At 34.3% G+C, this 23477-nt stretch overlaps 1 protein-coding gene across 2 annotated transcripts in view; it reads right to left on the bottom strand.

Moving 5' to 3' along the window:
• SRFBP1 (serum response factor binding protein 1) overlaps positions 1-23477 on the bottom strand; it is a 116961-nt gene that overhangs the window by 85119 nt on the left and 8365 nt on the right. For both annotated transcript variants that reach the window (XM_017009111.3, NM_152546.3), the window contains exons 2-3: positions 19533-19621; positions 18430-18502 (exon numbers count right to left, since the gene is read on the bottom strand). In XM_017009111.3, the coding sequence (XP_016864600.2) occupies positions 18430-18502; positions 19533-19621 (162 nt within the window). The remainder of the gene's footprint in view (positions 1-18429; positions 18503-19532; positions 19622-23477) is intronic.

The raw sequence follows: 23477 nt of genomic DNA, 5'->3' as shown, positions 1-23477 counted from the left end.
CTCAAATAAACAAGTCTTGAGAAAGGGGAAAGATAAACAGATATGTCAGTCTAACAATAAGAAAATGCTACATATCAAAACTTATGAAAAGCATTTAAAGTGGTTATTAGCCTTAAAACAACTATTGGTAAATAAAATTAATGAAAGTAAGTGAATTAAATTACTCAACTAAAAGTAACCGAAATTACCTCTGTCAGTTCTTCATTTAACAAGTGAAAAGTAAGACTCAAATCGTGATTTGTCCAAGGTCCTATAACTGGGTGGTAGAAAGGCTGACCTTAACTAGTACCTTTATTAGATCATCATCTTTCTGGCCTACTGCCTCTATGATAAATTCAAAAAATCTCTACCACGGTTAAAAGCATTCATGAAAAACTAACACAAAATCAATTTATATTTCATGGTTTGTGATGATGTCATAGGACAATTTAAACAAGACCATCAGAATCTTCTAGGTATGAGAAACACAGGTTTTAAAATGAAGCATGATTTATATGAGCTGAGTGTTATTATAACCCTTTCAGCAGAAGGAATATATACATATGTTTTTTCATAAATGTGAGGGACTGAGCAACCCAGGCAGGTAATTTTGCCAACTTTTGTGGTCTTTCAGAAATATTACAGGGAGAATGATGTGAAGGTTCAAAATCAACAAAATATATTTAAAAGATATATAGAAAGTGAAGTTGATATGAATTTAATCAGGTTGGGTATATTTAAAGAAATATGTTTGCCACTAAGGCTGTGAATTTGTTGGACTAATTATTAGCAATACCCAATGTCAAGATTTGCAAGCTAACAAGTTAGCCAAATACAGTATCACAGATGTCGGTAGAAGACACGAGGCTCCTGGGTCGGAGACAAGGGGCAATTTATTACTCATAGCAATAGCAGGAGCCAGAGTATCAAAATTTTTAAAAAGCTCATTCACTGTTTTACTTTTTTTGCCCCAGAAACCCAAAGCCCCAGATACATGGTAGATATTAAACTTAAGACATTAAAAAATCCATGTAATAAAAACTAAAGGGAATAATTTAGGAATATAATACCTCTAAAATGGGCTAATAAGTGGAAAACATGTTATTTGATTGAGAAAGGGAAAACCATTTGTAGTTCTAGTAGTATGATACGCAAACACAAAGCATGATTACAATAACCTCTACTTCTAGAACCTAAGTAGCGATTAATTACACATTGTGTGCTAGGCTAAATAGCTCCTGGAAGACGTCCATGAGCCTATGAACATGTTATTTTACATGGCAGAAGGGACTTTGCTGATGTAATTAAGTTAAGAATTTTTTAAGATGGAGTTATTATCCTGGATTATCCAGGTAAGCCAAATGTAATCACCATCTTCCTTACAAGAGGGTAGCAGAAAGGTCAGAGAAGGAGATGCAGAGAAAAAAAACAAAACAAAACAACAACAACAACAAAAAAACGAAAGTGTGGGAAATGGTGGAGGTGGAGGGGGGAGAAGAGAAAGAAAGAGGGAAGAGAAGATGCTATGCTGCTTGCCTTGAAGATGGAGAAAGACACCATGAATCAAGGAATGCAGTTGGCCTACAGAAGCTGAAAAGGCAGGAAAAATTCTCCCCTAGAGCCTACAGAGAGAATATGGCCCCACTGAAAGTCTACAGAAATAATACAGTCCTGTTACTGTTAGGACTTCTAACCTTCAGCACTGTAAGACAATACATTTGTGTTGTTTTATGCCACTAAATTTGTCGTAATTTGATACAGAAGCACTAGGAAACTAATGTATTTTCCATCTCCTACCAGTCTTCGTATTATAAAATAATTCATTATACCATATTATTCGGACAAACACTACGTGCCATAAATAATGCCAATAATTAGACATTTACCTTAAAACTAAGTAAAATATAGATGCATTTGGATGGCTTAAACTTTTTGTATTATACCATTTATACTTCGGTATTTTGGACCAACTCGTTTATTACCTCAGTTTTAAATACAGCTATATGTGTCATTAAAAGGGAATACTGTCTCCTAAAACATGGTTCATATAAAATGTAAAAATTGTGTTTAGCAAATATGGATGGATAGGAAAGCTGTGCCATAACTGGAATTGTCAGGTACTATTTTAAGTAAACAATGAGAAACTAAGACTTTTTTTAGACAACACAAAAACTGCAATAAATGATATATTATGAAGTTATTCTTATCTTCCTATACTTCTTATTCAGAAGAAATCAGGTACTGACTTTCAGAATAAGGCTCCTTTTGATGTACTATTACAATTGCACAGATAGCACCTTAAATATTAGTGTTCCTATTCAAAGATTACAGAAAATTTCACACATAGCTTTTCTGAATCCTCCTAAGAGTCTGCTGCAAAGTCTGCTTGGGAAGTTCATGCTAAATTGTCAGGACTCGCAAATTATTTCTCTAACTGCTCTGAAACCTAGATTTACATACATTTTAACTCACAATATCTATTTTTTAAGGGAGAATTTTAAACAACTTTTTTTTTATCACTGTAGGACTGAATTTAATAGTGTCAATAATACATTATAATTTGGCCACAAAATTTACTTATGTTTTAAGAACATATAAATTACATATCAAATTGATTATGGAAGCCAGTCATAGAAAAACTCAGTAGAATCCAGAAGATCAGTAATTAAAACTGGAGGAGACATGCAGAATTGAGTTTTCAAGATCTGAAATAATTCATTATTTACAAAGAATGCCTGGGATGACGGACAACTTCCCTGGATTTGAGGCTGGGGTCCCTTACCTGACAATACATCAACTCTCTTCATTATAAATTGCTTCTACAAGTGCACTGGAAAGCAGGTAAGCCCTAATTTGGCTAAAAAGTAGCAAACTCTGAAAGACAAATGGTATGCAGAGGCTTGGGCACTAAAGAATCATTATAGCTTTCTGGCTAACTATTCAGAAGTGTACATATATTCTAACCAGCTTGTTGGGAACAATTCTGCTTCAAGTGAGAACGTGGTCAGGCAATAAGACATGTAGTCAAAAGAAAATGTGTTGAGGACATACATAAAACAAACAACTTTTGCTTACAATAACCTTTGTTCTCCATATTCTTGACAGAAAAATGGAACAAAGAGCCTAGAGTGTAAGCTCTTCAAGGGTAAGAATGGTGTCTTATTCACCTTTGACTATGAGACTCAAGCACAATGACACATGTTGAACAGAACTGGACCAGAGTAGAAACATTTTAAATGTCTATTTCCTTTTTTTCCCAACTTTTATTTTAGATACAAGGGTACATGTACAGATTTGTTACATGGGAATATTGTGTGATGCTGAGGTTTGGAGTAAAGATCCCGTCATGCTGATAGTGAGGATAGTACCCCATTGGAATTTTTTAACCCAGACTTCTCCCCACTCCACCCGCTAGTAGTCCACGGTGTCTCCTGCTCCCATTTTAAGTCCATAGGTACTCAATGATTAGCTCCTACTTGTAAGTGAAAATGAGAACATGAAGTACTTGCTTTTCTCTTCCTCTGTTAATTTGCTTTAGAATATAGCCTGCAGCTCCAACCATGTTGCTGCAAATGACACGATTTCATTCTTTTTTTATGGCTGCACAGTATTCCATAGTATATATGGACCACATTTTCTTTATTCAATCTACCATTGATGGGCACCTGCACTGATTCCATGTCTTTGCTATTGTAAATAGTGCAGCCGTGAACACAGACGTCCATGTGTCTTTGCTAGAATGACTTAATTTTTTGGGTATATACCCAGTAGTGGTATTCCTGGGTTGAATGGTAGCTCTGTTTTAAGTCTATTTCTTAGTGAGAGAGGAAAAATAAAATCAGTAAAGTCTCTTATTAGGAAAAAATTCAAATCCAAGATTTGCCAAAAAATTTTCAGTTGCCAATCTAGGCTTTTTCTTTAGAGAAACAAAGTTGAAAGAGAACAAATACTGGGAAAAAAAATCAGCCAAGAGGACTACTAGAGTGTTCCAAAGAAGAGTACTTACTGCTCATAAGTATTCTAAATTACTCTGTTTTACTTATAATGGGAGAAGGTAAAACACTACTTAAAAGACTCACTGAAATATACAGATTTATAATTGTGAATGGCTGAGAAACTACATTAGGTATTTAGCCACGCAGGTGCCAGATACAACCTTGCTCTTTCTGAGGAAAGGTTTCATGCCAAATGGAAAACTAAGATCCATTTCTAGACCCAGTAATAGACATTTTAGACAGGAGTTATATATCTATTCCAAGGGCATTTTATATGTATTCAGTGTTTAAAGATCACCTAGTCCCGCATGCACCACACTTAATCGTGGTTAATGTCACTTAAAATTGTGAAAGAAACTAGTTTGTGCTTATATGATACTGTTACACCATGCTCTTCCTAGTGTATATTGTTAATGCTAAGTAAAATGATTAATCAGACAGCGACACTTAGCTTTCCTCCATCTAAAACTAATTCCAGGCAGGGCTCGGTGGCTCACACCTGTAATCCCAGCACTTTGGGAGGCTGAGGTGGGCGGATCACGATGTCAGGAGATCGAGACCATCCTGGACAACATGGTGAAACCCCGTCTCTACTAAAAAGAAATACAAAAATTAGCTGGATGTAGTGGCACGTGCCTGTAATCCCAGCTACTCAGGAGGCTGAGGTAGGAGAATCGCTTGAACCTGGGAGGTGGAGGTTGCAGTGAGCCGAGATCATGCCACTGCACTCCAGCCTGGCAATAGAGCTAGACTCCGGCTCAAACAAACAAACAAACAAACAAACAAATTCCAATATCTTTTTTTTTCAGATAAATGTAGTTCTCTTGAATTTAGATTTTTCTCTAAATTGAATATAACTGCAAATACTCTAAATATTCTGCAATTTCGAATGCAGAATATAATGCATTTTTCTACATAGTAATATGCAAATTTTATGTAAAAGTTATACATTATGAACTTAGGAGAAAAAAATACCTAGATACATTTCAATTTGGAAAAAGAAAATTTAGGTTGCTCAACTCTGTACATACTTGAGAAAGGCCTGTCATCAGGACTGGACCTTGGCCAGCTCCTAGGAGATGACCTCTGAGTCTGTGGGCCACAAGGTACCAATCTGATCAGAGAGTTTATGTTAACAATGTGATTTACGGTTAATGTGTTTTCACTTTGGGTGGCTTCAGTCTGAATAGCTGAGGTCAGCCATGCAGGCAATTCATGCTTACGTGACTAACAGCCAATAAAAACCCTCAACACCTAGGCTCAGGTGAGCTTTCCTGGTTGACAACACTTTGAACATGTTGTTACCTTATGATGGGAATGTGGCCATATGACTCCACTGAGAGATGCCACCTAGAATTATGCCTATTTTTTCCTGGACTTCACCCCATGTGCTCTTCCTTTTGCTGATTTTAATCTGTATCCTTGAAGAGTAATAAACTTTTTGTGAGTATAACAGCCTTTCATGAGTCCTGTGAATCTTTCTAGAGAATCATCAAGGCTCAAGAGTGGTCTTGGGGACTCCTGACCCACTCATTTTATAGAAGAGGAAATCATGACCCAAGAAACTTTAAGAAACTCATTCAAAGAATCAAAGCAGGGCTAGGACTAGAATCCTTGTATTCTGCTTTGTGGCTATATTCTGTTGTCAGTGATGGTCAATTAAAATTTGTTTGAATTCCTTCCTAATTATGTTAAACTAATATTATTCATGTTTTCTACATTAAAGACGTCATCCCCTAATAGCCAGATCCATCAGAATTATTCTAGTTCTCTTATTCCACACAGTGCTAGATGCCACTTTTTGCTTTTACACAAAATATCAAATTAAGTCAAAATTAGGTAATCCCAATTTTGGTTATTTGGCTACAACCTTGTCTTTCTTCTTTCCAGGGACTTTGTTTGAACAACCTAATATAGTGACTCGTAAGTGTATAAGCAGTGCAGTGCTGCCTCTGGTTAAGCAGGGAAAGTAAACATTTGTAACCAAACTATTCTGTATTGTGCTGTGGGAAGGGAGATTGGGTAAACACAAAAAGCAACTTGGAGGCAATAACCATGTTGACATTTTTAATTTCAAGAGAATCTTATCAGAGTCAGGCTTTTAACTTAATAAAATATAAAACATGTTTGTATTTTCCAAAGTGTGATCAAAATTGGAATAGTATATTTGGGTTATAAGGGATTATGCCCCAATACAAAAAATTAGAAGGTGCCAAGAAATGTCTGGGTTCTAAATTTTTGGTCTATTTGAAAATGAGTCATTTCTCTGAAATAAAGAATCTGAAATAACTTGTAAGAGTGAGAGACATCAAAATCTTCACACTTTTCTACAGTTGAGAATTTCATTATGATTACCTTTCAGTGACAACAAAAACTTTATTTCCTAAATACTGTTCTGCTTTTTAAATACAGTTCTAGATGAAACTTCAATAAAGTTATACTCTATCATCATATTGCCAATAGATTTTTTTTCCAAATAAAATATCAGATCTTCTTCCTACACCTATTCCTGTGTTCTCTATAGAAACCAATTGCATCTCAATCCTCTGCTGCTAGGATTAGACAGCTCAGAGACATGTGATACTGGGAGTCCCTTCACTATGCTTCTGTTATGCTCCTATCACCCTTTCTGCTTTCTCTTTGGTACTGTCAGTTTTATCTGTTCCCTCCATTGTATTACCATTATCCTACTCCTACGTTCAAGACTTCTTTATGGATTGTGTGGATTATAATAGCCTAATTGGTTTTCCAGACTCGAGGATGAGTAACTCCAAGGCCCATTATATCACCATTCGGAATACAGAATGAAGTCAAACTTTCAGTTTGGTATTTAAATTCTTTCAGTACTCGGCCTTAATGTATCTTTCTGCTCTAACTGCTCTAATTTAATAATGCACTTCCATGTTTAACATTCAGTTCTACATAGAATCACCTGAATAAATTTTCTACCTCAATATCTTTGTAATATGTTTGCTTTTTAAAATTCTGTCATTCTAAAAAGTTTCTCACTCCCTTTCTTTCCAATCAAAAACTATCCAAGTTTTGGATTTTGGTTTTTAAATACCACTAATAATGAAGCAGGACTTCTTAGAGAAATGGCTGATTACGGATATGAGGCAGAAAAAGTATAAACCCTGTGATAATTTCTTATGCCAGAAAAGGACAAATGGGATTCAAATTAGGGTCTCAAACAAGCTATGTAGGCTGGCTTAAAGGGGCTACCACTGGCTAAATTTGGGTGTCAAAAAGAATACTGACAGCAATGAATCGCAACCACATTGATCATGTATTTGTTGTTCAGACTAGGGCCCATATGAGAATAAAATAAGGCCCTATTAATAAACATGCTGGGCCACATGGTGAATGAATACCAGGACAATCCCAGGGAAATTTGGTTATATGATCAACCTAATTATAACACTTGTCAACACTTGCCATCTCCAAATGCTCTTTATTTTTCTCTCCAACTCACTTCATTGGCTTTTGTCCCAATTACATCAATCCCATTATTTTAAGCCCGTGATGATCTCCACGCTGCTAAATCTAATGAATAAGTCTCAGTACTCCTCTTACTCAACGTATCAGCAGCATTGTCCCCTTCTTGGCCTATCAATTTTTGTTAAGTTAATTCTTCCTTTCTTCTTGATACTCTATCTTCATTTGACTTAGGTTGGACCCATATTCTTGGTTATTTTTCTTTGTCTCCTTTGCTAGTTCTTTCTCTTCTAACTTAAGAATGGACCAGGACTCTGTCCTTGGTACTCTTCCTTTTACTATTATCTAATAATACCTCACTGATTTCATCCAGTTTCATTATTTTAAATATCATATATATGTGAACATCTCCCCAAAATCTCCATCTGTAGCCAAGATAATTTCTCTGAACTGCAGACTTACATATCCAAGTATCTACTTTACATCATCATTCCTAATCCTTCCCACTCTGCTCTATTTCTTCCACAGTACATAATCTACTAACATGATAAACAATAACTTAAATTTATTATGTTGTCTACCCGAATCCCCCAACCCCCCACAAAAATAAATTACAAAAGATCAGGAACCTTTGTCTACTCTTCTCAGGTATACCATAAGTGTCTAGAAAAGTACATGGCATTTGGTAAATGCTCAATAAGTGCTTGTTGAAAGAATGGATACTGAAGTTATTTTTACTTGTTAGGTATTATAAATTGTTACACTAAATATCTCAGTTATCGCAGTATTAGATATAACATAAACCAGACATGTCAGTAAACACTGCCCCTGTGCAGGAACAATGGCAGAGAGTGTATTTAATAACTATGTCTTTCATTCAAGTTTATTATTTTCTATTACCTAGATTAAAAAAACACACCAGTTAATCTCTCTTGACCATGTTGATATCTGAGTTTAAATCACTATCTTCCTTTACACAGACTTCATGAATAGAAACTAACAAAATAATCTAAAAGCTTTGTATTTCTTGATTCTACACATACTTCCTTTACAATGTAAAAAAGAAAAAAAAAACAAAACCCAACACCAAAACAAAACAATGAAGCAATACAAATTAAAGTTTTTCACCCTATAATTTGTAAAGTTTCATTCAACTTTTAAGACTCACTGTTACAGAAAGACTTCCTTGAATCCTCAAGCAGTGCTAAGTGTCCCTCCTCCAATGTGCCTATCAGCATCTTTCAATACATCCCAGTGAAGCTCTCTCCATTTTTCTCATTAGACTTTAAGCTTCTCAAAGGCAGACACCATATTAATTTCTATATTTTTATAAACTAGCCAAACATGGCACACACAAAGTATAGACATATATTTTTGTTGAGCCAAAATAAAGTGTTTTGGTCATGAGGATGGCTCTGAGATGACATTATAAATAAGTATTTGAACTTTTCTGGCAAAGTACCAGACTAAAAAATATCAGGTAAAACTTCTGTCTTTTGAATCCTACAGTGCTAACTGAAATAAAGACAGCTACTTTAGCTTCTGGTCTAAAGTCACAATGCAATCTGGACAATGATAATGGATTGTGTGGTATAGCTGATCTGGAAAATATCTCTGTTCTGGATCCCTCTGTCATTACTAGTTTTAGCGTAACTTTTCAAAATCGTGTTGAAGGCAATGGTCATCTTAAATAACATTCATTCATGCCATTTATATGCATTAAAAGACTATAGAAATTCAAATTCTTAAAAATTAAAGTGTACTATGGCTAGGAATGTTGATGTTGTATATGTTATTTACTCACCACAGCAAATAAGTCAAACAAAAATTATATACTGCTATAACCTCTTAAAAATCTATTCATAGATGTGCCCATTTATATTTGAAACATGTCACAGAAATTTCACAGAAAGCCTTCTATGTGCTGAACACTGCGTAAAAAGGCAATCCAAACAGAGTTTCATGTTTGAAATAACATGCCAATAACCTGTCATAGTAACAAAAGGAAAGATGTGTTAATAATAGATTTCTAAAAACTGATTACCTAAGTACTGTATGTATGAAGATGAAGTAAGCAGGGTAATTTTAAGTAAGTGGGGTAATTTCTGTTTAGTGCAGTTGGTGGGAACAATAAAAATATAACCAAATTACTAGAGGAGCTTTCTCCAATCATACAAAACTCCCATCCATTATGACATATGCCCTAAGGCACGAAGCCTTATGCATATATCCTCCATCTTTCCCAATAAAATCACTACTTTAGAGGTTGGTGAAAGCTGTGAAAATGATGCATTCTGATTTTGCAAAAGTATGTGTGATGTGGTGGAAAATCCTGCCTTGTTATCAGACAAAACCATAGGTAAGAATGAGCAATGTATAGGGAATATAATGTTGACTGTAGTATTAGAAACAAATGAGGTTAATACAGTTGTGCACGATGACAGGGGTCAACTGATGAAAATGCTTTTAATACTCATGAGAAATTAGATCCCATCTGGCAGACAATAGGAAGCTAATTTTAGGGTCTTGAACAGGAGAACAATAAAATAAAACAAAGTAAGTTTACTACTAAGAAATTTTACTAGTGTCAGGTTTTTGCTGGCAGCCAGTTAAAGAATTACTAAATGTCTACAAATAGTACTGTCTCACTTTAGTTCCAAGCTGAATTTCATGTCAAAAGTTGAATCTTCATATTCTAAAAATTAAGCTGAATGCATTTTTCGCCTATAAATTATTTTCATCAATATATAAAAATAATTGTTTCAGTGAACAAAAGCTTAAAAAACTTGTATAATTCAATTGTACAATGATCTGCATCTTACCAAAAAATATTAATTAAACATAAACATTACCAGATAAAGCAGTCAAATGAAGTTTTACCATACAGTCCTATCTCTCACAGTGAAATACTTTTTAGAAAATAAGGCAAAATAGCTTGTTTAATGTAAGTGATTAAACATGATCACATTTTTTATGCCAAATAAAAACATCAAAATTGTTCCTGGCATATAAAATTACTCACTTCTGTCAGGTACAAAGAGGTAGACAGAGAAAATGACACCCAGCAATTACATTAGTCTGAAGATTCTAAATAGAACACTTCTGTATTCTAAGAAATAAATCGAACAGACAGCCATTTTCATTCTGGACATTCTCTTCTAACAAAATGGATGGCCTTGTGAAGAAAAGCTTTTTGTTTGAAAATAATTTGTCTCCATTTAACTCCAAATTGAGGTGATATCCAGTTGAAAAAAAAACAAAAAGAACATCACATTTTGTAAGACCAGTTACTTACTGATCTTATTGCTGCTTTTCTCTAGGGCCCTTTGTCTCCTATTATGTGTTTCCAACAAAATATGTTGTAATATTTAACTCTTTTCTCAAGCACCATATTATTTCAGACTGGAATTATGATAGTAGTATTGGTTGTCCAAAATTTTTGAATTAATAATTTAAAAGTGCTTTGGATACTTTCACAGTTATTAGGAAATGTTTGGCTAAGGTTTAGGTTCAAATTTCCAGAATTACAAAACAAAAAAATCTAATCAAAACAAAACAAAAATAAATGGGAAACATTAAAAAAAAAGCCATGTTATACTGCTTTCTCCCTTCATACTGCTGAATCTTGTTTATACACTCAGTAGCCTCTGAAGTAGGCTTATCTAGGTGAAGAATTCCAGAATCAGCTCCTTAGAATCAGTTCCTTATTTAAAACTTAGGTGTATACTATGACTCAGTAAATAGTAATAGCATTTTCATCTCTTTTGCCAACAAAGGCCTGCAACTTGCTCTTTGTTTTCAAACAGAAGCAAGCGGTTCAAAAACAGACAATACATACTATCGTTATTTTTCACATATGTTCTTATTTAGAAGACAAAAATATTTTAAGGCAATCATAGACTTTATATAAATATGGCCTCCAATGAAAATCATGACTCCTATATATTAAAAATGCAAAAGTGTTAAGAATTTCAGGAATATGACCTATACAAAATAGTAACTTAAAGCTGTAGAAACTACATGCCAGAAAGCAAACTGGGATTTCAGTATGATGATCTGTTACTAAATGCTGTTTCATGAGTGTGAGGAGAGCATTATATACTGATCTTTTAAAATAGCGCTATGATTTCCTGTTTATAATTTTAAAGGTCACAGTTAAGTACAGAAGGCTAACAAACCAGGGCATCTTGTTTGCTCTTTTAGAAACAAAAGTTCTACCTTTTAAAACATTAAATTTGAAGTTATATGGTCTCAGGGCATTGGCTAAGGTGACTGTATAAAATGAAGAACCTTTTTCCTCCTGTTTCTGATACTTAATAAGCAAAAAGAAAAGCTTCTGATTACAGATTCTTCTTAGTAACAGTTCCATAGTATTCCATTTATCTTTAGAGACTCAGAACAACCTCAACACTGTAAACGTGCCAACATGTAAAAAAAAAAAATTGCAGTAGAAGTCACTCAGTCAGCTAGCCAAGCAGCGTTCACTATGTATCAGACACATTACTAGGTGTTAGGAACAATTAATTGAGTAAAATAACCCATTTTCTTAAGAAGTTCTGACTAAGCAGCAGGAATGGCATGAAAGCAGACTGCTATACCATATGATAGCGGAAATACATACAAAGTAAAAGGGCCTGCATAAAGTAGGTAAGTACTTCTTCTGGGATTAGAGCAGAAGTGCCAGGGAAAGTTTCCTAGAGCAAGTAACATAAGAATTAGGTGTTGAAGGAAGAGTAAATGTTTATTCAGGTGGGAGAGATGTGCTATGTTTAAAAACTCTGATGTAGGCAAGGGGGCCTGAAACTGCTAAGTTTGGGATTCAGTTTAGCTGGTTAAAAAAAAAAAAAAAAAAAAGGTACAGGGTAAGTGGAAGATACAGAAGCAACAGAGAGGTAGCCAGAGTACAGATCACAAAGGGTCTTGTATATCATTCAGGGAAGAAGTCCCATTAGATATGCATTTCAGAAAGGTCACTGGTTAGAGTGCAGAACATGATTTGAAGGCGAGACCAGAGGCAGGAAGTCTATTATGATTTGAATGTGTTTTTAAACGTGCTCATTTTAAAAACACCTAATTCATCATTCCCTTCTTGAAAGAGTTTCTTCACAGTTTCCTAGATACTCTTGGTTCTTTTTCTCCTTCACTGGCTACATTTTTCAGTCTCTTTTACTTATTCTTCTTCATCTTCCTAAAATCGAAATTTTAGTGTGTCTTGAGGCCCTCAGAATAAGATAACATGATTAATCATCCCCATCTCCCCAACCCTGAAAACAAGCATAACACCTGGACATACTACCAAAAAGCCCTATCTGAAGATATTAGAGAGTAAATGGAAACAGACTCTGATGGAGGGTCCACCAAGCTTACTTGGAGGAAAGAAGATGGAAAGCTATACAGCACAAGTAGTTATCATTTCTTCAAAGTTTAGCCTAAGGCCAACTGCAATCAGCATGGTTTAGAAACAGTGGCAGAGCTACCCCTGAAAGAATGAATTCAGGATACTTTATCCGCTGAGAGAGCAGGGTAAGCCCAGAAGGGAGAGAGAAGAAATCTCTAAACATCTTAAGTGTTCAGACAAGTAGCAGATTCAAAGCATCTTGCTGAAAGACAAAAGATGTAAACTGAGACTGGAACTGCTAAGAAACATAGTTTAAAGTTAAAACCTAGCCAAGAAAATTCATTCAAACAACCACTTATTCGAAAAAAATAACCAAATCCAGGATCTCTGCGACTTCATAATGTCCAGGGTACAGTCCAAAATTACCCAGCATATGAACAGGAAAGGAAACAACATTTTTCTTCTCCATAAGCAAAAATGGCTATTATCACTATCCTTGATGGTGTTCAAAAAAATTGCTCTCAAAAAATGAAAATACTATCAGAGAAATAAATTATTGCAGCAGAGAAATAGAAACAATAAAAACGTTTTAACGGATGTAGCCACAGAACATTAATCGCTGGGTGAAAGACTACAGGATATTCACATAGTCTCACAGTATCATTTCACAGATTACTTAGTAACAGCAAACAGAAAAGATACCTTTACAATGGAGAAATCTGGCATATGGCACTTAAATCAAGTGCCAGAACTCAACACTGATAGTAAAGGTACAAACATGGATGTGATACAAAACACTATTATTATATTATAGTATTACAATTTTCTATAGGTTTGAAGGGTTTTCCAAAAAGTTGGAAGGAAAAGTATAAATACAGTATTATTAGAGATTATGAAACACAAAAGAAAGGCTAAAAGGAAGATTATTACACATCAGGGAGGGAAGAATTAAAGTAGCTGTCTTGGGATCTATTCACTTCCTTTACCAGGAGGAAACTCTAGCAAAGGGAGGTGATGCTGTTTAGTCTTCGTGTTAACATGCTGGTAAGCAGTCCCTCTGGTAGATAGGATAATGAGTTTTTGTTAGGAGGAGGGTCCTTATCTGAAGAATGCTCTTAGTAGGCTGTCCCTTGTTAAGGATGCTTACAATAAACAAACCCAGAATTTATGGGTTTATGAAGCCTGGCACACTGGAGAACATCATGTAAGCTATATAACCTTAGGATATTACACGGAGAAGTTTCAAAATGTAAACGCTCTCTGATATGAGGTAATAACCAGACTTCCTCATTTGGAGACTCTGGGCTGGAAAGTACACGTCTGATGTGGAAAGGAAGGACCCTGTGGAATTACATAGTGTCCCAGATCTCTCTCCTTGCTTCTCCTGTCCCCTTTGACTACTTGCACCCTTACAATTATTACTAAAGCTGATTCTAGGTGAGATCTCTAACACGTTGAGTCTGATTTGATAACACGATTATTTGTATTGGCTCACAAATAAAACTCTCAGAAATAATTATAGTGTAAGATTAACGATACTTTTAATACAATTACTTTCATAGAATAAATGAACAAAATGTTAAGTTGACATAGCTAATTAACACAGTACAGTGTACTTACAGACTTCAATAAGGTATCTTTTACCCTACGGAGAAACTTGTTTAAGCATTCATAGGAAAAAAAACTTACCAAAGTCACAGTATGTGAAACTATAGAAAAAACTTGGTAACTTTTAAAAAAGCATATATAACCAGAAATATCACAAAATTCTAAACAGTATATGAATACATACAATGATAAACCTCCAATCTAAGGGGTATACACAGCCTAGAATACTTCTGAGTATGTCCTCTAAAATGGGATTCTCCCTAGAGTTGTGGTGAGGTTCAAGTGGTATGATATAGTTATTATATTATTTTGATGATGTATCATTTTACTTAACTTTTATGCCTTTACAGATTATAATCTATACTATTTTTTTCTATTTGTGATCTCCTAATGACAACCACTTAGGAGCAAGCTGTGCAGAAGCCTGAGATGAAGTGATCCTAACTGCTGATTGTAAGCTCAAAGGATGATTTTAATAATAGATTTCAGAATGTAAAACTAGGGGAAGAATAGAACAAAAGGAGAAAGTTTTAAACTAGAGGAGAAGTAAGAGGTAGCAGGCAGAACAAGGTCTCAAAGAAGAATACATAAATTCTCATCTTAAAGAATATTCAGGATAGGAAGAAGTAACAGCCTTAAGAGAGGAAGAGGTTAAAAAAGAATACAGATAGGCCAGGAGTGGTTGCTCACGCCTGTAATCCCAGTACTATGGGAGGCCGAGGTGGGCGGATCACCTGAGGTCAGGCGTTCGAGACCAGCCTGGCCAACATGGCAACACCTTGTCTCTACTAAAAATACAAAAGTTAGCCAGGCATGATGGCAGGCAACTGTAGTCCCAGTTACTCAGGAGACTGTGGCAGGAGAATCATTTGAACCCAGGAGGCGGAGGTTACAGTGAGCAGAGATCGGGTCACTGCACTCCAGCATGGGCGACAGAGAGAGACTCCATCTCAAGTAAAAAAAAAAGAAATACAGATATAGGCTACTGTGTATATTTACCTGTCAGGAATTAAAGGATCTGAAAACACGTTGCACATCTTTCAGTCTTTTTTTTCCTAGATGGCAAGTTTCATGTTTACTAAATTATCTCCTCCAATATCTAGGAAAGTGAGTCTGGATATATCATAGGATGTTCTCAACTTACTGAAGCAGTATACTACAGTGGATAACATAATTAGCTTTATAATCAGTTATAAGTTGCTCAGTTTCTCTAAGCTTGAGTTTCTTATTCTGTAAGACAGGGATAAAAATGATATCTACCTAGTGAGACAGTAAATATAAAACACATAATATAATGCCTGGCACATAGTAAATGCTCAGTAAAAGCTAGTTGTTACTTTTATTATTGAGTAAGAGACTTGTTGCACATTTTGAGTAATTTCAGTATATGCTTGAATTTTACCATCTCCTTCTCCAGTTAAGTAACTTACTGATCTATAAGTGTTGATAGGCTAATTTAACTAACTTTCAAAGAAAAAGAAACTGTTTTAGAAGGCAATATTTCTACTAATATCAAAGTTAAAAGTATGGACACTATTATAGAAAAGGCAGCAAAGACTTGGGTTTCATACACCATAGTCTATAAAATTAGAACCTATGATTTTATAGTGTAAAGATCAAGCCAATTTTTTTTCTTAGTTGGCCAGAAAAAGCAAACTCTCATTTCTAAAAATACTCATGATTTCTTCACAAAGAAGTCATCCTGCAACAAAATACCCTATTATTATAGAAAGCAAGAATAGGATAGTATGTCATCAATAAGACTATAAAAATGAAGCAGTGTCTGAGCCAAGGAAAAAATTTCTCTGGAAAAATAAATGAGCAGAGGTCTTTTCTCCAAATTTAATTGAGATTGAGAGTTTGTTTTGTCATCATTTATTTGATACTCCCAAGTAGGTAATAACCATTTCCTAAGAAAATTACAAATGACCTTTTAATTAAGAAAAATGCTTTATTTATTTGCTTTGTTTAGAAAAGACAACAAAATTTGTAAAAGAACCATAAATAAGGAATAAAATTTGACACGTAAGAACAGCAAATATATAGTCTTTCTAGTATTCATTTTATATTTAAATTCATTCCAGTTTTTAAAAAGCATTACAAAAGAAGTTGAAGTCAGAGTAGCCAACCCAGCCTGCCCTAACTCCTGCCACAAACTCAAGACATATATATACTATGAATTTTATGAATTTAAGGAATACATAGGCTATGAATTTGGCTTTCTATGATGCAACCATTCCATTGCGCAATCACAGGGAAAAATAGAACACAAATCAAACCAAACCAAACCAAACCAAACCACGATAGTGATGTGGTAATCTTGTAAACCTACAAACTTTATCACTGAATCAGATTTCCCTTTGCTGATGAGATTCAAAACAAGAAACAGAAAACAGGCTTTACATTTAGATCAAAAAGGACAACTTTTCTTTCTAATTAATCAAATGTATCACTGAAATTTACAAAAGGGAAGTATTCTAAAGATTGAGTATCTTTTGTTCTCAAACTCTTCATACACCACATACAAGTTATTATATATAACAAACCATGGAAAGAATGTAGTGTGTGTGTATGTATATATTTTTTATATATATAAAAAATTTAACAAATTCCAGTTTACTCCAGTTTTTAAACAGTATTACAAAAGAAGTTAAAGTCAGAGTAGCCAACTATACATTGTATGTGTATGTGTATGCACATATATATATTATATATATATATACATGCATACACACACACACTGCATTCTTTCCATGGTAAAATAAAATCAGCAATTATATAGTAGCTCAAAGCCTCTGAATAATTTAAGACTACAAAAATGACTATTCAGAAGAAATTACAGGGAAAAATTTAGGTAGGCAATGTAATTTAGTAAGAACCTTGGTTAAGAGAAAGTGAAAGAGATAAATTGTAACTTCCTATTTTATTGCTATTCTCAAGACAAAATCTCTAAAGATTTTATTTCTCATAGGAATATCATTTTAAAAAGGTATATGAAAAAACTAAATAATCTGCAAACCACAGAGACACAAATGATCACTGACAGTCAAATACAGAAGACTTTTTTTTCCTGAAGGACTGAATAAAAAGGGAATTATAACCTTGAGAAATAAAAGTTATATCAGATGGATTCCATGAATTTTATAATAGTGTGCAGCAGAGGGAAGGAAGAACACAAGAAACAAATATACTTCATATCAAAGAGTCGTTTCCTAGATGTTTTTATTCAGATTAACTGGGATAACTTTGTCCTATTAAACACTTTACTATCCGTTTAAAAGGAAGAAAGGCTGAGAATCTTTGATAACTTAACTCAATTAAAATAGTTAGAGAGTTTTATTTCTCTTTTACTTAATTCAAAACTTGAAAGTTATACCAAAATATAATAGGCAAACATGCATGCAAAATGACCCTGCAATTAAGAAAATTGCTGGGACCAAATGTTGTTTTTAAGTTCTACAGTAAAACAGTCTCCCAGACATTTAATGTCATGTCATTTGGTAAATGAAAGTTTCCTCAAAGTAAGAGCAGCAAGAAGACCTAAAAATTATGCTAGTGAAGAGTCTGACTGAAAAAAAAAACAAAAATATGGGATCACATTGGTCTAACACTAATTTTATTTGAAGTTACTACAGAACTGAATAAAATGCCGATACCAATACATAAAAATTTATTGAGCTGGCAACAAGGAAAGCATGATGTCAGCCACCAATATCACCATCCACATTCCCAAATAGCATGAAGACTTTAATTCTTGAACTGACTTCGTGCTAAAGTTACAGTAAAAATAAAAACCTGAGGCAGGAGGCATTATTAAACATAGATGAATTTAGTTTGGCACAATTTTGACTCAAATTAGCCTAGCACTTTAACAAATTCAGTCAAAAACAGAAAAATGCAAGCTTAAATGTTACAATTTTCTAAATGTGCTACATTCTTCACCAAACAGACTGATACAAGATGTCTTACGCAACTCTCGGGAATATTCAAATAAGCAATACCACACACAAACAAAATGCAGGATAACAGGATACTCAGAAACATACACACATACACACCCACACAAGTCCTTACCTTCATGGCATGGATTTCTTCAAGCAATCTTTGCGCCCGTCTTTGGTTTTTTAACAGTGCATCTTCAGTACCCCTGCAAAAAATACATTACGATATGTAGCCAGGCAAAGCATTAATTTTAGACTTATAGTGTAATGGATAATCACTTCATTTCTTTTTAGAAAAGCGTAATAAATCTCTAAATAACAAACACGCCACTATCCTACACTGTCCATTTCCCCCACTCCCAAAACACACCTCAATTTACTAACCAAACCCATATGTTGGAAAATGGCAAAAATAAGTACTGTCTTGCCATTGTATTAATGACTATTACTTTTGATAGTTTGCCTTCTCTAGTTCCTTAATAACACTTTTTTAAATCAATCAATCGTACATTGTATTTAATGTAATATAAATGTCATAATTTACAATTAGAGTTTGACTATAATTTTATCAAATGAAAATTTGCTCTCTGGCATTTAAGGAAAAAATAAAGAAGGGCTATATTCTGACATATTTATGAAAGAATAGGAAATTAATCAGGAACAAAACATACTTGAAGACTAAGTATTCATGCTTACATCATAAAAAGAACTATAAATAAAATACTTTTTCACTAACACTAGTGATACTGAAAATACAAAATATTGTATTTTTCCAAAAAATTACATGGAACACAATGTTCTAATAAACACTTTCATAAGGTACTGAAGATTTCAAATTACTTAGCAATTCAAGAAAAAATGTGATATAAAATCTTCAAAACTGATTCTTAAGGTATTACTAGATTTGTTAAGCTGTATCAGTATCTTAAAATAACTTCTGATAACACAAAACACACAAGCCCAAGGGAATTTCATTCTAAAAAGACCAAAAGAGAGTTTTGCAAAAGCAGCAAAAAAATTCATCCTGTATCTTGAGCAATGATGGTCCAAACCATAGAAGGGCATGCTGACACAGCACATTCTATCTCACTCACATCATCTCCGCATACAAAACAAAAATGGTGTATAAGACATTTAATTACTTCTCTATATCCCACCCTAAACATTTTAAAGTATCAAATAAAAACAACTTTTGACATTTTATTAGTCACAAGATCATTACTTTAAATGACTAACTTTTTTGACTTCAGTCGGCCAACACTCCTGACAAGTTTTCGGATAACTAAAACTCGAATTCTCTTCACTTCTTTTCTCATCTTCACAACCTTTGAAGAATAAAGCAATAATTAGAAGAAAGGCACTTACTTCAGGAACAAACACACTTTATTTTGAGTCTTAATATTTGAGACTTAGTCTACCACTTTAACTACTTTTATTGTCTAACTATATTCGTAGCTTGATGAAATCAAACCTCTTCCATAAATAGTGAAGGAATAAATCAACAGTCTAAAAATGTGTCTGAGAGCTTAAGAAAAACAAGTTATAATTTTTTAAAAAGTCACAGTATTACCCGAGATAAGTATTTTAATGTTACACTTATATCTTGCTGGGCTTGGAATATAATAAACAGTGAGTTCCCTGAAATCACAGCCTGTCATATTCATCTTTGTATTCCCACCGTTAAAACAAAGCCTCACTCATAATGGTAGGAATTTAATTTGTTGAATGACTATTTTAATTAGCAAATTAGCTTTTAATTAGCAATTTATTTTACATATTTATAAAACAAATCTTTCATTATTTTTAGTAACAAATTATTTCAAGTATAATTTTAAAAGAAGATCCACAAACACAAGGGCATTGTGTGCAAGCATATGTGCATGTAAACATACATGCCCCCCCCCCACACACACATGCACACACATACAAATACATAATTTAAATCACCCTACTGGAGAACAATGTTTAACTCTAAGAACAAAAAGCAGAGCTATAGGCCAAAAAATGGAAATTATAGTTATAAAAAAAATACACATTATAACAGCTTTCAGTGCAATGGCATGTAATTACGGAGTTTATATTTCATCTATCAGTTACGAGGCATACATCTTAAAAATTACTCCTGGAATGTCCTTCTTCCCCTTCTTCACTTTAGGAACTATATAAAATTCAGGTTCAGATATAGTCATTCCAGTGATACCTTCAATGACTTCTTCAGTTAAGGATAACCACTCCATCCCTGGGGTCCCCACTATACAGATTCTGTCATTAAAGCATCTACCTCACTGCACTGTTACTAATGGCTCATGTGGCTGTCTTTTTCTATAGACAGCAAGCTCCTAGAAAACAGGAGTCTTGTAATATTTATATAGTGTTTTCTTTGCCCTGCAAGAGTGCCTGGCACAAAAAATTCCTCAAATTCTTCTTGCCAAAATAACATTATCAACATCATCCTGTTTCTTTAAGGCTCTTCCATTTAATTAATATCTTCTCTTACCCTTCATGTCATTCACTCCCTTATTCACTGAAGATATTAGCAACCAACTTACAATTTCTTTACACCCTAAGTTCTGCCATCATTCTGTGTAACTTGCATGTCCACTTGAATAGCCCATCTGATAATTATATCTTCACTTCTTTACTTATTTTCTAAAGACCTAATCTATTCTATCTCAGCCATCCACTTCCATGGCCACACTGTCAACCTTGTCATCACTCATAATATTCAATTTCTAAAACCATTAATTCAAATATTCCACACTGTGATCACAACCTCTATCAGCTTGCTTGTTCAACTCCACCCACCACAACCATCTTTGACTTCATTAGGACCACCAATCCACTGACTCCTACACTTAATGTTCCTCTTTTTATGCAGTTTAGATACATGATAACATCTGCCAATTTCTTAAACTCCTGCCCCTCTGGTGAGGAAACCGTAGTCCTGAATGAAAAAAACACTCTGAGTTCTTCATTGTCATATGCCAACAGCAAATACTTGTAACATTCTGTCTACTATAAATTCATCATAATTAACCTCAAGTGGACCCCCATTCTTCCTAGCCATCCTGTATTTTTCTGTTCAGTTCACTCTACAATGCCTGTTTTAAGCTTTTGCCTACTCTCCTAAATCCTCTAGTCTCCGTCCTCCTTTCTCTCTTTCAATCGTGTGGAGAAAATAATTATCAGTTGGGAACCATCATTTTTCTACTACCATGAATGCAAATGTACTTCCATGACCCATCTTCCTTTACGAATAAAGTTACAATATAAGAAATACCACTACACATATCTGAGTTTATCTTTTAACTGTCTTTTAGAGCCCATTCTCTTCTGCCTTCCTAGAACCTCTACTATGGATTATCCCTTTACCATAGCATTGTCATTCTCTTCCTTTTAATGCATTTGTTTCCCACTGATTTTTAAACATGATTGAGTCATTTTCATTAGAGACTAAATAAACATCCTCATTACATGGTTCACTAGGACCACTCCCTCTTCAGTTGTGTGGAGAACTAAGCTTTTAGAAAGAGACGTCCAAACTCAGTATCTCTATTTCTGCATGCCACACAAATCCAGTTTGATTTTCATCCTCATCAGTCTACTAAAAGATGTCACTAAGGACACCAATGAATTCCAAAAAAGCCCCTGAAATCCAATGGAAATTTGACATTTTTGACCACTTTCTCTTTCTTCAAACATTCTTCCCTTAGTTTTCCAAGATAGTTTTCTTCTTTCCTTTCTACTCACTCTATTTTGATCTTCTTTGAAAATTCATCCACCTCTACCCAGTCATAAAATGTTAAGAGTTGAGGGGGCAGTCCCAAGCCAGTGTTTCTTTTCACAATACATTGTTTAGCCTTAAGAGATCTTATGTGTGCATATTTAATTTGCCACCTAAACAAAGAGGAGTCAAACATTTTACCTTCAGCTGAGATCACTCCTTTTAGCTTCAAGCCCAAATGTGCAACTTCCTGCTTGACATTTCTTTCTGAGTGCGCTCAAAATCACCTCAAATTCACACCTAAATTCATGTTCTTCACCTCCAATAAAACCCTTCCCTTCTTTTGTGGGGAGGGGGGGTTTCATATTTCAGAGAATGGAACAATCCTTTTAGTTATACACCTAAAGGTCTTTAGAGGTAGCTCTCTTAATCCTTCACAATGAATCTCCAAGTCCTATTAATCTTAAATCCTAATTATCTTTCAAATTGTACCACTTTTTTCCCTATCTTGACCTTTTTGCAATCTTGGCTGAGTTACTGTTAACCGGTTTCTCCACACCTGTTCTTCTTGCCTCTCTCCAATCAGTTATCCACAATGCCATCGCAATAAAATTTTTTAAAGTATATATCCAATGTCGTACCTTTAAGTAACTCTCTTTAACGGTGTCCAATTGCTCTCAGAAGAATCACATTGGCCTTTCAGTCCCCTGTCCTCACCATGCTCACGTCTACTACAAAGCCTTTACACCTACCATTTCCACTGGTCAGAATGTTCTTTTTTCCCATGTCAACTTGTTAACATCTATTCATCCTGATTTTGGACCAATTGTCATTTCTGTGAAGTCTTTTCTGGCTTCCCTGAGAGGGTCACAAGTACCTTTAATTGGTAACTTAATACTTTACTTTTAATCTGATTATTTTTAATGTGTCTTTCCCCAGTAGGTTATAAATTCTGTGAAGTTGATCAAGTATCTGGTTTTATTCAACACTGCATCTTAACACCTAACATAGTGCATGGCACACAGTATGTGTCCAATAAATATTGGTTAAATAAATGACCAGAAATGTAGCAATACACACTGTCTATTCACTGTTTCAAATGCATAATATATTTTAAAAATGCACAGTAATCAGGTTTCTTTCCTGCTAGATAAGTTAACCTCTTAGGAATTTGTTTCAAAGACCCATTTAGAAAAAAAAATCATACTTTGCATAAATGAAAAGGCACACAGACAAGGCTTAAGGAAAAAAAAAAAGAACGGCCACGTTGCATAAACAGAATTATACAGTGTCATGATACATTTTTTAAAGTTAAGTTATTCATAAAATAAACTAATAGCAAGCGATGAACTGCACATTAAAATATATTAACAAATGTTTCTAATTGCTGAACTTTGCAGGTGCATGAGATGATAATATACCATTTGCTAACCACTGTTAACTAAACTAATAAACTG

The sequence above is a fragment of the Homo sapiens genome, chromosome 5 (assembly GCF_000001405.40).
Source record: "Homo sapiens chromosome 5, GRCh38.p14 Primary Assembly".
Taxonomy (NCBI): domain Eukaryota; kingdom Metazoa; phylum Chordata; class Mammalia; order Primates; family Hominidae; genus Homo; species Homo sapiens.
This window is presented reverse-complemented; position numbering and strand designations above follow the sequence as displayed.